Source organism: Homo sapiens, chromosome 2 (assembly GCF_000001405.40).
Source record: "Homo sapiens chromosome 2, GRCh38.p14 Primary Assembly".
Lineage (NCBI taxonomy): Eukaryota > Metazoa > Chordata > Mammalia > Primates > Hominidae > Homo > Homo sapiens.
In genome coordinates this window covers 7032603-7050866 of record NC_000002.12, presented here as the reverse complement: position 1 = coordinate 7050866, position 18264 = coordinate 7032603, and the positions used below count along the sequence as shown (strand labels likewise).

General features: G+C 46.9%; 1 protein-coding gene across 7 annotated transcripts in view, besides 2 other annotated features; it reads right to left on the bottom strand.

Annotated features, from left to right (window-relative positions):
* Positions 1-18264, bottom strand: part of RNF144A (ring finger protein 144A) — a 158956-nt gene that overhangs the window by 25501 nt on the left and 115191 nt on the right. For 5 of the 7 annotated variants that reach the window (NM_014746.6, NM_001349186.2, NM_001349184.2 and 2 more), the window contains one exon: positions 6688-11238. The exons of the other annotated variants lie outside the window; for them this stretch is intronic. In NM_014746.6, coding sequence (NP_055561.2) covers positions 11107-11238 — 132 coding nt within the window. In that variant the 3' untranslated portion in view covers positions 6688-11106. Of the gene's footprint in view, positions 1-6687; positions 11239-18264 lie in introns of those variants that run through there. 7 annotated transcript variants of the gene reach the window in all.
* Positions 6495-6789: a silencer, noted in NCBI's record as "tiled region #3683; HepG2 Repressive DNase matched - State 13:Ctcf". NCBI's record gives its function as "represses a minimal TATA promoter and a strong SV40 promoter by Sharpr-MPRA in HepG2 cells {active_cell/tissue: HepG2}" and the evidence as "EXISTENCE:reporter gene assay evidence [ECO:0000049][PMID:27701403]".
* Positions 12815-13109: an enhancer, noted in NCBI's record as "tiled regions #7427 and #13434 (exact overlaps); K562 Activating DNase matched - State 12:CtcfO, and HepG2 Activating non-DNase unmatched - State 12:CtcfO". NCBI's record gives its function as "activates a minimal TATA promoter and a strong SV40 promoter by Sharpr-MPRA in K562 cells, with weaker activation in HepG2 cells {active_cell/tissue: HepG2 | K562}" and the evidence as "EXISTENCE:reporter gene assay evidence [ECO:0000049][PMID:27701403]".

The window sequence follows — 18264 nt, the reverse complement described above, 5'->3', positions numbered from 1 at the left end:
ACTGGGATTCCAGCACTTCCTCCCTTGGGAGCTCCCGTTCCCTTCGACATTCCCCTCCAATGCTGGTATACAGAGTCCTAAGTCTTCCCCATGGAGGCCAGTGAGGGAGCCAAGAATCTGCTTGTCTTTCAAAAGACTGTTGCTCTCCATTCCCTTAAAGGTATATGAGAGAATTTATGCTACTGAAATATAGGCAACGGTGAAGAATTTGGATTTAACGACACAGGAAGCAGAAGGCTCTCAATGGTTTTCAACAGAAGCATCACAAGATGGAAACAGAGAATGCCCCAGGAACAGAATGGTGAGAAGGGAGGAGGCTGGGAGCAGAAGATACTTTAGGAGGCCCCAGGTGTGTCCACGAGAGACTGAAGAGGACCTGCATTAGTCTGTTCTCACTCTGCTAATAAAGACATACCCAAGGCTGAGGCATTTATAAGGAAAAAAGGTTTAACTGACTCACAGTTCCACATGGCTGGGGAGGACCCACAATCATGGCAGAAGGTGAAGGAGGAGCAAAGTCATGTCTTACTTGGCGGCAGGCAAGAGAGCTTGCGTAGGGGAACTCCCATTTATAAAACCATAAGATCTCCTGAGACTTATTCACTACCACGAGAACAATATGGGGAAACCACCACCATGGTTCAATTATCTCCACCTGGCGCCACCCTGGACGTGTGGGGATTGTTATAATTCAAAGTGAGATTTGGGTGGGGACACAGCCAAACCATATCAGGACCCGAACTGAGGACAGGGAACCAGGTCCTACTCACTCGTGAATTCATCTCCTGGGAAAGGCAAACAGTTCTTCCTTCAAAGTCATGACCAGCTTCCAACGTGCAACCAAATGAAACTTGGTATCGAATGCATTTTCGACTGAAAAAGCCGAGGAGATTGTGCTTTTTCTTATGACTTTCATCACACATCCTGCCCCTGGCGTTTCCAAAAGCCGTTGCATTTGGACTGCTTTCCCTCCTAAGCCTGTGTTAGCCTCGCCTTCTGAGCTTCCCACAGTACACATTTTTTGCAGGTGCATTTGCTTGTATTTGCAAGACAGAAGCTCACTTTGTTGGAACTTTCTTTCCTCGGTCCCTCTTCATCGTCTTCATCTCCTAATTGGTGTTTGTAATAACTCCCAGCTTAGTATCATCTGCAAGTTTCATTAATATGTTGATTCCTCCTTTGTCATTAATAAAAACATTAAATTATTATTTAACATTCATTGTGCACCAACAATGTATTAAGAGTTGTGCAGAAATGAGAAAAAGATCCACTCTGACTGCAACCTCATTTTCGTGTCGTTGAAAACTCAAATCGCTGAGCACAGTTGAATTTTTGTCATCTTCATCCTTTGTGGATTCCAAGAGACTCGTTTTTCAGGATTTTGTATGCCAGGTGAAATCAGCAAACAAAATCTCCAGAGGTTTTCTCTCCTGAGTGTGAATGATGTTACCTAATCAGCCATTTCTCATTCATTGCCTTACCATTGATCAATAATTTATATACAGCCAATTTCACCTCCTTCCTGGACTTAGTTATTTTGGAAGCATCATTTGCTCATTCAAGCAACATTTGTTGAGCACTGACTGTGCTCAGCCACTATACAGTGTTTCTGAAAATGCGGTACCTTCATATCTCTGTTTCTCATCCCTTACCCTCCTCTGCCTGGAAGGCCAGCCCATCCCCCAACAGCCCCCGCTGAAAACTATTCAGCCTTCAACCCTCAACTCAGAGGGATACCTTTGCACAGGGAGCCTCCCCAGGCCCTGCCTTCCCTCCAGGTGCAGCCATTCATTCCTCCTCTGTGATCCTATAGGGCCCCACAAACCCTCTCATAGGAGAGTAATTGTCTACACTGTAAATCCCACCACATCCTGAGCCCCCGGTGGGGAGGAGGGACTAGGAGGCTTTGCATCTCTATCATTCTCAGTTGCCACGGGTTTCTGCAAAGTAGGTATCCAATGAAGAGCCTGTGGCACCCAAGACAGCTGTGTTTTAGCTGCTGTCTGTGCATTCATACTTGGCTTTAGGTGAAAGTGAATCTCTTCCAGAAGGTTGAGTAGACTTCACCAGCACTTACCTCTGCAGTTTTCAATGTCATTTTGGCTCTTGGATTAATTCTGCTTCAGATTGTGGAAATCTTAATTTCCAAGGTGATCGTTTCCTATGAAGTACTTTGCTGCCAAGGAAACATAGCTTAGAAAGGTCCCCATGCTGTGGCCACCCCCTAATTCCAAGCAACGTGGCCCCTACTGCAGTCTCCCTAACACCCTTTCTGCAGGGAGGCTCCTCTGAGCACTGTTGGCCCATCCTTGACCTTCACGTGGCTTTGGGTGTCTTACTGAACCCTGCCTAGGTGTGTTCCTACTGGCTGTGGGGTTGGGCCGGGCCCCATGGTCTGCTCGTTGTTTGTTATAGGGCAAGACTCTTAATGATTCTAAGCCTTAATTTTCTTGCCTAAAGTGAAGAATTGTGATAATAATAGTTTACGTCCCAGGGTGGTTTTGATAATTAGTTTCTCCTGTGAACAACATGTTGATTCAGGAAGCGCAGTGTTTGTCCTGCGATGGGCACCATCTCCCACCTGATGCTTATCCCCTGGAAGGTCCTTGTGTATGCGATTATCTGAAGGTGGAGATGAGCCATGTTTTGCCTGTAATCTCTGAAATCATCTGAGATCGTACGGGTGTGCCTGAGAGCAGCTATTTCCCCCTCAGGATTTCCTGAGCTCATTTTTCTCATTCATCTTGCTGGCTTGAAAACAGACAGGACTGGGTTTCTTCTCCTGGGATGCGATCTTCAGATGCAGGATTTAAACTATCCCAGGAACAGAAAGGAAACCACCCCACATGGCTGAGACAAGTCTCTGTGTGCCAGTCAGGGTAAATCAGGAAGAGGCCCAGGGAAGCCATGTGTGGTGGGAGGAACACTGGGTCCCCGCAGGGCAGACTTGGGTTCCCAGCTTCACCAGCCACTTATCCTTGGTGTCACTTGTGGCAAATGGGCCTCTCCAAGCCCCAGTGATATGAAGATAAGACTCGCAGCTTTGTGAGCATGAAACACAACCCATGGAAAGCAGTGAGCAAATGCCTGGCTCAGAAGAGGTTCTCAGCTCACAATAGGGATTTCTTCCAACTACAGTTGAGGCTTTTGCTTCTGGACTGTCTACACCTCCAGTTCAAGCGTAAGGCTTTTTTGTAGCTGAACCATCCCAAGTGACTGGTTTGGCTGTGTCCCCACCAAAATCTCAACTTGAATTGTATATCTCAGAATTCCCACATGTTGTGAGAGGGACCCCGAGGAAGGTACTTGAATCACTGGTGCTGGTCTTTCCTGCGCTATTCTCGTGATAGTGAAGAAGTCTCACGAGATGTGATGGGTTTATCAGGGCTTTCTGCTTTTGCTTCTTCCTCATTTTTCTCTTGCCACTGCCATTTAAGAAGCCACCATGACTCTGAGGCCTCCCCCGCCATGTGGAACTGTAAGTCCAATTAAGCCTCTTTTTCTTCCCAGTCTCAGATGTCTTAATCAGCAGCATGAAAATGGACTAATACACTTCCCACACTACAAATACACACATTCATACACACAGTCACACACATAGACACACATGCACACTCACACATGTACTTCATACAGGCTCTTGCACACACACACCCCCAGCAACAGGAGTTTAATTCCTTTATCTGACAGGCATTCAGTAAGTCACCACTATGTGTCCAATAACAGCAGGCAAATATGAAAACCTATTTACAATGTTAATTTCTTAAACCCCTGGATAAAAGGAACATGGAGTCCAACTGTCAGAAGCTTTTGAAACGTTATTCCCTTTTGCATTTTGGGCTTTTCATAAAAGTTGTGATAAGCTGATAAATTCTGAGAAGTGAGAAGAGACTACCCCTTGTTGGATCTTTCTTGTGCAGTAAAAAACACATCACATGTACTCACGTTCTGAATGAATTCTGTTAAGTCAGTGAGAAAAAATAAGAATAAATAAAAATATATTTTAAAAAGACCCAGATAGTTGCCTAGGAGAACAAGTGAATGACTTTTGATACTGCAAATTCAGATTTTCCAATATGAAAATATTGACTCCATTTTTCTTTGCATTAACCACAGGCTGTACGCACAACCACTTCCTTGCACCCCTGGGTAGCATGAGCCATGATGTGAGCTGTTCGTTTCTCAGGTCCTACAAGGAAAACAGGAGGGAAGAGGGTCCTTCTGTGCTTGAAGCAGGAGTGCTGAGTGGGTACCCTTGTTGGGAGCCTCATCCACATTCACAGTGGAACTGCATGAGCAACTTAATATTTTATCACCAAAATGTACTCTATGTTTTACTTGTCATTTCCTCATTTATCCTCAGAAAAATCCTGTGCAAGACTTTTTATCCCAATGTTCAAACAGGAAACAGGTGCTCCCAGGCTGTCACATGCACGGGAAGTCACCCTCCTGCGATGTGGCTCCAGCCTTCCCTGGCTATAGCAGCCACTGCAGCTCTCCACCCTGCTGCTCTGGGCCCCATTCGATGTTGGCTTCATCCGAAAATGCACATCCTGGGTGACTTTAGCTAGAGAAGAGCGAGTAGCCAACACCAGGTCGTGGGCAGCAATTGCTGTTTTTAAATGGCTGAGTTGCTCACTGGTATAGACAGAGATGAGCTGAGCTGAGCTGAGTAATGGACACTGTCTTGTGGTCGAGCCACATCAGCAGTTATAATCTCTCATGTACCTCCTGCAAACAAGTCAAGTTTAGAATACCTTCTAGATAAGCACATGCTATCAAAGTCTGTGCCATTCCCACCTTCTATGCCCTGTAATTTGGGTTCCTCTAAGAGTTGATAAGACTCTTTGCTGGCAAATTTCTTTTTCAATTTTTAGAAACAAATATATGTACCTAGGTAGACACAGAAATATGGATTTATTTTGCTTAACCATCATTGTTTTTTGGCAGTGTTTTCTGGGGGGCAATTCCTACATTCCAGGCCCGCTTCAAGAATTGATGTGCAACCCAGCGTAGGGAAGAACTGCTTCTGGACTGCACCTGAGGCAGCACCACCGGCAACGGAGCCCCGCCACCTGCTGTACCCGTCCACCTTCTCTGGTTGACCTCCCTGGGGCCAGACAGCCCACTCAGAGTCCGTGCTCCCTCCTATGGAGGTGAGTTGTGTTTCCCACAAAAAGTGTTGAAGCCTAACCCCCAGAACCTGTGAACTTGACCTTATTTGTAAATAGGGTCTTTGCAGATGATCGAGTGAAGATGAGGTCATCAGGGTAGGCTCTAATCCAATATGACTTTGCCCTTAGATGAAGGAGCTGTGTCCACAGGCGTGCACACAGGGAGAACGCCGTGGGAACCTGCAGGCAGAGACTGGGGGTGCATCTACCAGCCAAGGAACACCCAGGACTGCCAGCAGTACCAGGAAGTTGCAGAGCAACACGGGCATCCTCCTTACCGCTCTCAGAAGATTCCAGCCCTGCAGATACCTGAACCTTCAGTTTCCAACCTCCAGACCTGGAAGACAGTAAAGCTCTGTTGTTGTAGCCCCTGGTGTGTGGTCCTTTGTGACAGCAGCCCTAGGACCCTAACTCACTCCTCCCACACAGCCTTTATCATGAAGGTCCAGTTCCTGAGTTCGGCACACTGTGCCCCCACCAGGTCAGACATTTGAGTAACTCTCCAACCCCGACACGCCAGTTGGACCAAACTCTGTGCGCTTGTTGAACTGGGCCCTTCCTTTGAACACACTTCTCAGTTTTGCTTGGCTAGTTCCTACTTGTCTACAAGAGCGAGCTCATACATGGCGTCCTCTGGACAGCCTTCCCTGACCTTCCGGCCTGGCCGAAGGGCTGTGCTGTGCCCGCAAAGCCTGCTGAGCGTGCGTCTACCATTGAACTTATTCCACCTTCTTATGATAATTGACTGACTTATCTGTCAACCCCTTGAGACTAAGAGCTCCTTGAGGGCAGATATATTGAGTCTTCAGTGCCCACTATGAATCACCAGTTAACAAAATCCACTCCCTTAATGTGCACCTGTAGATATAAAGAATGGATTTAAAACTTAAACACAGGACAAGGAACCAGTTGCCTATTCCAGACTTGAGCATCATATGAACGCATGAGGTATAGATTCTCCTCCAAGCTGGAGTGAGGTGAATGAAAATCAAGGTGAACCACCACATCTTCAGCTCATTATTATCTCTCCTACGAAATGAGAAGGATCCATATTTATTCCACTTTCTCCCCACCCCCAGCAGATAAAGGATGCCTCCTGATTTTCATGCTGCAACTCATAAAATGTGACAGGTCTGTAAGGAACTTGTCTTTGCGGATGGAAGCAGAGCGCCCTGAGTGGGGATGAGATGCTTCCTGATGCTGCAGTACCGGTTGGGCACCACAAGAGGGAGCCAGGAATGGCTGGACGGGTTGATACACCCAACAAACCAAGTAATTTTGGCATCTAGGAGTTGAGAACATTCCTAAAACAGAAAATCTCAGGATACAAGAGCTGTTTTCCCAGTGATATAAGATCCCTCCCCTGCCTCACCCTTTCTCCCTCCACCCCCAGTTCCCACATTGAATATTTTCAATCTTCAATAGATTAAATATTGAAGACTGAAGATAGAATATTTTCCATCTTCAGGCCAGTAGTCAGATAAGCATCTACAAAAGACGGAGCCACGCGGGGTTTACAAAAGTCACCTGTATTCCAGCCAAAATAGCTTTAAAAAGGAATCCCTGCTAAAGGGGGGGACAAACTACGTAAGACACAATACATTTAAAATATGTATTGAAATTACAAATCAAACTTTTTCCATATGATTCCAGAGTACAAAACACAACATTAAAAGGCATTCAAACAGCTCTTTTATACATCACAGTGTTAGTGGCACAAAATGTACTGACATTTCAAAAACACAAATCAAATCTGTTTTGATTTTGTTTCACCACCACTTGTCAAATACATAACGTATACATGTGCATGACTCATTCATGCATATTTTTATACAAGATTAAAATACACCCATAGTAAAGTGAGCAAAGAAGGAAAGAAAGGGCAGGCATGGGGCATGTAGCTACCCCTCACTGAAGGCTCCGGAACTGTGGAAGACAGAATTGCACAAATCAAAGGAAGGGTGGAGACCCTGGGTTTTTTAAACATCAAGACGGCATGCTCTCCTAGTTGTGAAGCATTAGCAATTAGGTTTTAACGCAGGCCCCTTTGTTCCTTTTGGTGTTTTTGGTAATACCTGTCATAATCCCTTCATTTTGTTTATTTTCATAAGGGCTTAGGTTAATTATCAGAAATAAACAAGCTTTGGTATTTTTTAAAGAGAACTTCATGAAGCTTTACACATGCAAAATGTTTTCCCTTGATGATCTCCTTGTGATTTATATATATACACAGGTGTGCTCACTAATAAATGAGAATCTGAGACACACACACAAAGCCCATCCTGGATCCTTTCAATCCCCTAATTTTTAAAGACTACCAAGAAAAAAATGTTTTTTTAATTTGTAAAATGACTTCTAACTTTTGCAATACAAATGAAAACAATAAACTCATCTTGAAGTAATTTTTGCATCTCTGATAGTCCCTCCCACAGGTCCTGTGTTCTAATCAGGAACTGGCCTGTGCCCTAAACTGGTTTTATGGAATAATATGTTGTCAAGATCATTTGTTCCCCTTTAAGAAAATAGGCCGGGTGGGGTGGCTCAGGCCTGTAATTCCAGCACTTTGGGAAGCCGAGGTGGGCAGATCACCTGAGGTCAGGAGTTTGAGAGTAGCCTGGCCAACATGGTGAAACCCCGTCTCTACTGAAAATACAAAAATTAGCTGGGTGAGGTGGTGGGTGCCTGTAATCCCAGCTACTTGGGAGGCTGAGGCAGGAGAATCGCTTGAACCCGGGAGGCAGAGCTTGCAGTGAGCCGAGATCCTGTCATTGTACTCCAGCTTGGGGGACAAAAGCGAAACTCCGTCTCAAAAAGAAAAAAAAAGAAAGAAAATGCCAGAGGTGGCAGATGTTGGTTCCTCTGTCCACAGCTACTCCTATGAGTTGAGGAGGAAGAACTAATTTGGACAGTTATTCCTGCAATCCGATGCTTTATCTCAGATCCTAAGTCAGTCTCTGCTACGTGGACATCTATGGTGACTGCATCTTTGCAAGGTGCTGACCTCCTATGAGGCTGCAAGCTCATCTGGCTGGGCTATGGACTACACAGCAGAGCCAGACTGAGAGGTCAGGCATTTCCAGCAAAACCTCCAAATGTGGTCAGTTACTCAAGGGCCTCAGAGAAGCCACAGGTCCACTGGGCTAAGGCCAGTCCTCACTGGCCACCCACCCTGGGCGGCAGTACAGCAGCCATGGTTGTCTAAGGGCCTTCGCCCCTTACTCCCCAGGATTAAAGGCCTCTTAGTGAACACATGCCATATGCTTCTGGGGCTTGCAGTGAACACCATCTGTAAGAGTGAATGCCATTTTTCAATGGAGACAAATTATGCCGCTTCACAGGAATAAGTCCGTCCACTCAACGCAGAACTCCCCAGGTTTTACTGGGGAATGATGGCAAGATCAAAGTCCAAACCCAGGGCCATCTGCCTGTGTGCTATTTCCATTTTACATCAAGCAGGGTTCATACTGTATTCCCATCAAAGATAAGTCTGGCACTCCTTACTAAAACAGAAGGAAATGCGAGTTTATGTATCTCAGAGTGATCTTGCTGGTATTTATATAGGAAATGGACAATTTTAATTTTATATCTAGATCAAAATGAGGAAACTGAGGCATGCTTCATACAAAAAGTCAGAGCCAGTAGGTGCCAATTTGACTGCCCCTGGCTGGCCCCAGAATCTCTGTGGTCCCTATCTGGGTTGAACTACGTGCTTGTGAAACACATCAGAGGTGAAGGCACAAGGATGGCTGGGGCTACAGATGTGCATGACTGGGCCAGAGACTCTTCCAACAGAACAGCCTGTCCCTCTAGAAATAAGGTCATCTGAGCTCTAGCCCTGGGGATGCAGCCTTTCCAAAGGCTCTGACTCTCATCCTAAGGACGGGGGTGCTACTGTGTGGGCTCATGCGATGGGCAGCAGCAATTTCAGGCAGGAAGGATGAGCATATGGTGGAGGCGTGTCCTGTGGGCCACTGGACACAGGGCCACAGGCCTCCCATGTGTGCTGGGCATGTTAAAGGGCAGTGGCTGGACAGCTGCATCCACATATCACAGGCTGAGGGCTCAAGCCCAGCCAATGACTCCCGCGTGGAGTTGCCACCCACCTCCAGAAAAGCTATTCTAACAGTAGACACCATCACAGCACCACAAACGACAGAGAGCCACAGCCCAGGTTCCATCCAGAAAGGGAGTCGCAGGCATGTTCTTACTGAGTTACTAAACTTGCAATTACAAGGAGAGCTTTTTGAATGTAATTTTGACACACAGGGATTTTCTAAATGGCTTCGGGTTCATAAGGAAAATCAACATGACAGGTGAAGAGTGAGGTGACGCTGTTTTTTCTAACGAATTCAATGTTAGGAAATAAGAAATAAATTTCCAACCAGGGAAAGTAAACTAGGACCTGAGACTGATACTCAAATGCAGAAGTCAAACACACACAAAGCAACATTTTAAAAATGTGCTTGTGATGGGCAAATAACTGAGATAAAAGGATTTTGTTTTACTTCTTTATAGAATGTTTAACAAGATTTTTAAAATCCCACTGTAATATAGCTACAATATTTGCCTGTTATTTTTAGAAGTTTTAAATTCAATGCAGTTTGCTTTGTAAAAGCACCTGTGGCTTTTAGAAGTAAATTCTCTTTAAAGAATACACTTTCTCCACTTTTCAAAGTCAATTGGTGGAATAATGTGTATGTGTCCTTATTAATCCCTGCATCCTGCTGCCATGGAAATGGTCACAGACAGCCCTGTAAAAGATCAAGTGGTAAAATCCCCACGTTAAAACGAAGTGAAATGGGAGGTTCTTTTCCCCAACAAGAGCAAAACGGTTAGCAACAGGACTTGGAACTGTGTAAGATATATGATTTCTCAAAATGACTAGAACATTTTAAAAATGTGAAAATCTGGCAGGCTCTTCCCTAGCCCCCAGAGTCCTCCAGCCTCTGCCAAGAGGCCCCTACATCTGCGGATCAATGAGGCTGCTTTCTTCTTACTGTCTATCTGAAGACTGAGGCCAGAGGCCAGACGGCAGCAATTCGGAGGAGAACCATTGCCGAGCAAAGCAGTGGGATTGAATACAATAAAAAGCGTTTTCTGCTACCTGGGAGAGAAGGGATGAGGCCCATGAGCTGAGCTGAATCACCAAAGAGAGAAAACAACAAAAGGCAAATCTAATGGAGATGAGATGTTCCTTTAAACACGTCAATATTATCAAGGAAATGCAACAATATAGGAAGCACACTTATAACAGTACACAGCTTACAGCGTTCAAAAAGTTACTACAGCAAGTTTCAAGAAAAACACAAAGAGTGCATAAGGCTTTCTAAATCTCCTGAAAAGTCGTTTAACTATAACTTCTTAAAATGCACATTTCAAGAAAGGCATAGGATGGTTTATATGCACCTTGTTGATTTTCACTACTCAGTTGGAAAAAAAATACCTTCTAAAAAGGATTTTACTAAATGCCATTAGTAATAAAAACAGTTGTCATAAACAGAGTGCTTCTCTCAAGCTGGAATAATCAGATTCTGTCTGAAGAGAGTGGCAGTCCTTAAAAGACTTCTCTGACAACATGGTGCCATCTAGAAGCCAAGGAGCAGAAAGTCTCTTAGGCCATCCCCAGACATGCCTAGTCTACCACAGAGAGAAAGCTGCCTGGTGCACTTCTCACAGCACCTCCCTGTCATCTGCAGAGATTGATCTGTGGGGATGTGCGCTACCCACACCTGCCTCCCCTCCCCACCACACCTGGGGCCTCAGCGAACATTGTGACATAGGTCCCTGAAATCACGGCGTCCAGCCTGACACTGTGAAGCTCAATGGGGCACATAAGGCAAGAAAGATGTTTAGTGAAGGGGGGACGGTGGGGAGGGTTGGGGGAGAGCCACACTTCCCGGAGGCAGGGATGTGTTCCAGCATCGCGCTTCCTCTAGGTGGGTAACGGGTCGTCGTCACCTTTACTGCACTTGCACTTGCAGCAAAGTACAAAGGGAGTGGCCAGGAGTAGGAAAGGTGAGGCCACCAAGAGCAGCAGCCCAAATCCTGCAAAAATGCCCACAACCTGGAAGAAAGAAACAAAGGGGTAGAGGTAAGGAGGGCTGGTCTGTAGGTTCCAGAGCTAAAGTGTAAACCACACAACCAGCTACCCATCCATCCATCCATCCATCCACCCAACCATCCATCTATCCATCCATCCATCTACCCATCTAGTCATCATCTACTCATTCATCCATTAACCATCATATATCTCTCTATCCATCCATCCACCTACCCATCCATCTATCCATCCATCCATCTACCCATCTAACCATCATCTACCCATTCATCCATTAACCATCATACATCTCTCTATCCATCCATCCACCTACCCATCCATCTATCCATCCATCCATCTACCCATCTAACCATCATCTACCCATTCATCCATTAACCATCATCCATCTCTCCATCCATCCACCTACCCATCCATCTATCCATCCATCCATCTACCCATCTAGTCATCATCTACCCATTCATCCATTAACCATCATCCATCTCTCTATCCATCCATCCACCTACCCATCCATCTATCCATCCATCCATCTACCCATCTAACCATCATCTACCCATTCATCCATTAACCATCATACATCTCTCTCTCCATCCATCCACCTACCCATCCATCTATCTACTCATCCACCCATCCATTTACCCATCCATCCAACCATCCACCCACCCATCAATACCTAGCCATCACCCACGCATCTATCCATCTAACCATCATCCATCTATCCATCCACTCTCATCCATCTATCCATCCATCCATCATCCATGCATCCATCCACCCATTCACCCACTCACCCACCCATCTCTTTATTCATCCACCTATCCACCCATCTACCCATCCATCCACCCATCCACCCATCTATCCATCTAACCATCATCCATCTGCCCATCAATTCACCAGTCTATACCCTTCCATTCATATACCCACCATCTACCCACCCACCCACTCATCTGCCCACTATATATCCATCCACCGACTATACATTCTTCCCTTCATTTTTCCCTCATTCTTCTTTTCCACCTCTTCCTTTCCCTTCCTTCTCTCTCTCCACCCTTTTCCATCTAAACACCCAAACATCCATACATCTATATATCCTATTAACTAACAAGTTTCCTCTCAGCAGCCACCCTGACCCAGACACTGCACTTGACACTGCAAATACAGAGGTGCATACATCTTGGCCCTCGAGGAACACCCTGTCTGGCAGAAAAAGACCAAGATCTAATCAACTGATAACAAGACATTCTACAGAAACTGCCATCAGGTTCCAGGGGTGCAGCCCCACACACCCCCGCCATGTGAGTGACAGACACCATTTGCTAGGGGAAAGGAGGGTTTCCAATGGCAGGTGGCTGAGATAATGGAGACAAGCAGGTTGTTACTACAGAAGAAAGACTGGAATAGTGCATTTCCGACGAGAAAACAGAAAAGACACAGGCATGGTGCATCAGAGAATGACCTGGCCCCCTGTCCTTCCTGGAGTCTAAAGCCCAATACTGACTGTTACGTATTTTGATTTTTGCTTGAAAACATGTTTATCCCTAGTTATGAGTAAAGGCCAAAAGAAATAAGCCTCAAATGCAGACATGCCATCATCTGAGTCAGGCGGCATGGCTGGTCAAAGAGGCACAGAGCCTGCTTTCCAGCCGGCCTCGCCATTCACAGAGTCCCAACCCAGGCAGGCAGCCTGCAGAAATGAGAGCGAGGACAGGGCTAGACCGCCACCTAGTGTTCAGTGTGGCCAGTAAATGCAAGCACCAGCACATGGTTCTCATTCCAACTCAGCCTTCACTTCTCCCTGGGTCTGTTTTCTCATCTATAAAATAAACAAATGAAGTAAAAGATCTTTACGGGCCATTATCAGCCCTAAAATATGAGACTCTACTAAAGCATCCCAGATGTGTGGAACAAAGTATACCTCGACTGAGATTTCTCCTGAAAATCAACACCAACACATGCACACGTACGTGCATACGTGTATAAATTAGATTGCATTTAATAAATTATGCCACATTGCATTTATACATTGGATTGTGCTAATGCTGGGAATCCATGCCTGCTGCCCAGCTGGCTACGTTCATTTGTCTGAACAACATATCAACGGTGGAACTACCCAGTGTGAATTCAGGTTGTGCTTTACTGAAATCACGTGCACGCTGATATGCAGAAGGCATAAAACATGCAGTAAGCTCTACCCTATTTGAAGGGAAATTTTGAGCAACCTCGACTACCTGGCACACAACTGTCAGTCTTGAAAGAGCCACACATTCTTTGCAGTCAAAATAATGCCAAAATCCTGGACCAAATGATCACATTCTTAGCCAATCACACACCATCTTCGCTTTTCACTCAGTCTACCTCGTCTCTAAATTTGCCTGCTGTTTGAGAAGCCGGGTTACCCAACGTATTGCCAATTGGTGACAGGCAGATGCAGGTACTGCCAGTTACGCAGCCAGCAGTAAAAAATGAGACAGGAAGCAAATATCACAAAGCAAAAAGAACCACTGTGTGTGTGTGCTGTGGATGTGTGTCAGATACTTGATCACAGAAGGCAGAGGGATGGGTAAACAGTTTCAGGCTCCAGAGAGAATCTGTACAGCACAGCTTCGTTCGTACTGGCAAACCCTAAGATTTAAAGGAACAGTTACCCCTTCCCATGAAGTTTCTTAGATGTGTGCTACTTAAAGCCAGAACACTCTTTCTGCAAACCATTCTAAGTTCCCATGCACAGCCCGGCACCTCTCATAATCAATGTCCGACCCAGGTTTATGGGACGAGCCAGTTGAAACTGACAAGGTTCTGAATGGCTGCCCCCAGAGAATTCTTGTACAAACCACATTCAAGGGCTTGGAAAACTAAGCCAAAATCTGAGATCTGGTAAGGTGAATGGAACACTATTAATTCACTGAAACTAGGTAACTGAAGGTGGCACAGACAAGTTCAGAATCACAGTATCATATTTGATCCCTGGATTATAATCCAGTCTAATTTTCTCATTTCACAGATGCAAAATCTATACCCAAAAAGCTATTCCAGAGGTCCAATATTTGTTTAAAACAGACAGAGCTTAGCATCCTGGTGTAAGTACAAGAGATAGATCGTGCCTATTTCACTGATCTCAGTGAGAAATACCCTTAGAACAGTCACTGCATGTGGCTTCCAGGACATAAGCATTTCTGGAAGGAACACCTGGTCCTTCGGCTCAGTCTCTGAAACTATCACTGTGCACCCCTCCACGGATGCATGTGAATACAGAAGATCAGTAATCAGCTGGCTTTCGTAAATACCATCCTTTGGCTAAAAATGAGCTCTTTATCAAAGATGGACTGGGGTAAAGAAAGTTTCCTTTCACTTCTCAGAAGAGAAGGAAGAGCTGGTTTTGGGTAAGATTCTCCCTTGTCAGATGCTGATGTCCTAAGGAAGTAAGGTTACTCTAGAGAAAATGAAATGCTCCTCCACACGATGGCTGATTTCTGGGATAGCGCTGGAAAAAGGCCGGCAAGCACTTCATGCAATCGTGTGCACAGCGAATGCACAGGAGGGCAGATGGACAGGGCACAGGTGCGGCTCACAGCACCCACACTCACTCCAGCAACCGCACAGTCAGTCCCACGTGAGACATCTGCCCACCGTGCGGTCTTGCATTCGCGGCCACTCTGCTGGTTTTCATGCTCATTTACTTTAACAGGAGACTCTGCTATACTGAATAAAAAATGTATCACTTGCGATGAAACAAACTGTACAATAACTTTATGCAACAAAGACAATTCTTCCTTTACAGCACTGTTTTCCGTTTGACAAGAGTGCCAGGTAAGATGCAAGTGGCATATAAAACCTCTGCTCCCGTAAAAAATAATGAAAGCAGCCTGCAATCTCAAAGAGACACGTTGGAATTCCCCCAAATCTCTTAGAATAATCTTACTGAGCTTCACATCTAAAGGAGGAAGAACTGGGGAGAAGGAACCTTTCAAAATGACCCTGAAAGTTGGGAATCACAGGACACTGAATTCAGGGCATGTTCTGAGTGCTCCTGAGGTTTGAGTGGAGCAAGCCCCTATGTGACAGAGAAATGTGTCCCCAGGGAGCCAATGAAACCTGACTTGGGCAAGAAGTTCTAACCCACAGCAGGGTCAGTGACAGAGGGTGGCCCAGCTGACCCATTTGTAGGACGGGAAAGCAATTTGGTGGGTCAAGATGAGGACTTTAGTAAACAGAGCAGAACAGAAAATGCAGGAGCACAGAGTGGGGAAGTTATGTCGATGTGGGTGTGCACAGGGATGTTTTATGGGTTACAAGGTACTACACTGGTACATGTCTCCCTGTGGGCTGCAGTCAAGTAAGATTCCAAAGACGCTGCTCAGCACGTGCTGTGGCCTGGGCTCTTTAGAGACACGTAACGGGAGAAGCAGGAGCTGGAGCAAAGCCTTAAAAATGGATGGGAGGGATATAGCTTGACAGGGAGAAGGAACAAAACAGGGCAAGAGAGAGACACAGGAGTGGAGAAGGCAGAACAGCAGGCCATCCTGAGCGGGCTCCTCTGAGGCCACAAGGCTGGCAGATTCTGCTTTGCAGAGATGAAGATGACAAGGGAGGCCAAATGTGGAGGACCAAGAGGCTCAGCAGAAGTCTTCAGGTTATGCCCCGTCTGAGCATTTTATTCTGCTGCTCTAAAACCTTCTCTGGCTCCCTAGTGCCATACAGACTTAAGTCTACAGCAAGACACCACACCCTCTCCAAGGCCAATCACGACTCTGCCCCTAACTTCCCATCAGCTGCACTCCCGAAGGCTCCCCAGCCGGCCCCAGAGTGTCCCATTCTGTGCCTCCGCTCACACTGTCCTCTCCTCCTTCAAAGCACTTTCTGCAACATCCAGTATTTAGGACTTTTATGGTCTGATTCAGGTGCCACTCATTTCATACTATTTTTCTTGAATATTCCAGCTTGTTGAATTATCAAGAAATAATTCTTGGCTTCTAATGTCTCACCCTGCCTTGCGATCTTATGAGTTTCCCACAGCCTGGCAGGTGCACGTGCCACAAAGGCACCTGGTGCTACCAGGTGTCCTTCACAGCACTGCACTTGGGAGCACGCTCAGTGCCGTAGCAGCCCGGAGGAAGGACAGGGCAGGGGAGATGCCGGAAGCCTGAAAACTAGGCAGGAGGTGGCAGAAGCGAGCTCTTTACACGGACTCATTTCCAAAAGGCAGACAGAGATGAGTCCGAGCAAAGCTGGGGCTCCTAAGGAGGGTGGGCGTCCACTCAAACGGCTGCACGCTGTCGCTTGCTACAGCTTGACACTCCTGGCTGCTCTGTTTCCCCAAACACTATCGCTCCAAGTCTCACCGCACTTTTGTGAACTTTTTTTTTTTTTTTGAGACAGAGTCTTGCTCTGTCGCCCAGGCTGGAGTGCAGTGGCACGATCTTGGATCACTGCAACTTCTGCCTTCAAAGAAAGGAAGAACTATTAGGTGTCATTAGAGAGGTGGTGTTACTCCTGTCCCTCCCTAGGAGAAACAAAAACAGTTCTTCCTGTCTTTGAATGGGGACGAACAAGCTCCAAGTCATCCACTTCCACCTTCTCCTCACCAGGAGCAGAACCAGAAAATAAAGCAGCTCTCATGGCTCCTGGGACGGGGACACAGCAACCCTTTGCTCCCTGCCCGGCCCCTGTGAAGTTCCCCACGTGTAGAAAGCCGCCGAAGGCACGAGGACCATTAGCCCTGTGGAGAGGGCTGCGAGTCAACACCCACGGCCAAACGGGTCATTCGCGATTTTGCCCGTGCACTACTTCCAAAGATAACTGTGCCCCAGGCACAGGACCAGTGCCAAAGAGGTTACAAAGATGAGCAAAACAGGTCCCTGCTCCCAAGAGCACTTTTCTGTATCCTAAGAGATAAGACCCAGATGAGCACTGGGCTATGACCAGAGTGGGGTGGGTCCACATGGGAGGGAGGGCTCTTCTTGGATGACAGTCACACACAAGAGACTTCACGGAGGAGGTCACACCTGGATTGGGCCACAGAGAAGGTTAGAATGTGGATGTGCAGAGCTGGGCAGGAACAGGAGAAGTAGAGGAAGAGAGTGATGAAGACCAAGCTGGCAGCAACGGCCAGGGCAAAGGAGAGAGGCAGGGAAAGCACGGGCGCTGCAGGCCAAAGTTCAGAGTGAGCCTGGAGGAGCAGGGAAGATGCGGCTGCCAAGACCCATGCTCAGGCTCTCCCAGGTTCCAAGACCAGTGGGCCTTTGGCAGCTCCAGGGCACGATGGCGTGAGGATATCTGACTGCCAGCCCCAGCTGAGGCCCAAGCCAGCAGCCAGATCAAGCACCAGAAGCATGGGGCACGGGCCTGCAGGGGCTCCTGCCCAGCTTCAGAGCTGCCCCGGCTGATGCCACGTGGGCCGCACATGGGCTGGCTTGGCTGAGCCCTGTTCACACCACAGATTCCAGAGCAAAATACATGTGAGGATGGTAAGCCTGAGTATGTGGGAGGCTTGGCACCCAGCAACAGCCAGCCAGAGTCCCTGTGGAAAGCACCTGCTCTCACCTGGAACTCACCTTCTCTACAGGGAAACTGCCAGAGTTGGGCAATGGTTTCCGAGTTCTCACCAAGCTCTGACTCAGTTTCTGCCAAGGTGCACACAACAGCATCCACTCACACGGTGGCTGTGCAAATGCCGGGTCCCCCGAGTCAGCACCCAGTCACCCCCTACCTACAGCCCAGGGAAAACCAAGTACAGAAGAGGAATGCAGCCTCCTGGCAGTTTCTATGCTGCGTGGGGAGGGGGGTGTAGGTGTTGTTATGGGTTGAATCCTGTCCTCACAAAACAATATATTGAAGTTCTAGCCCCCTAGTATCTCAGAATGTGACCTTCTTTGGAAACAGGGTCTCTGTAGATGCAATCAAGTTACCATGAGGTGATTAGCGTGGGCCTCGATCCCATACCACTGATGTCCTGATAGAAAGGGGGGATTTGGACAATGATGGAAGACGAGGTGGAGACGCACAGGGAAGAGGCAGCCGGAGGAAGACGGAGGATTGCAG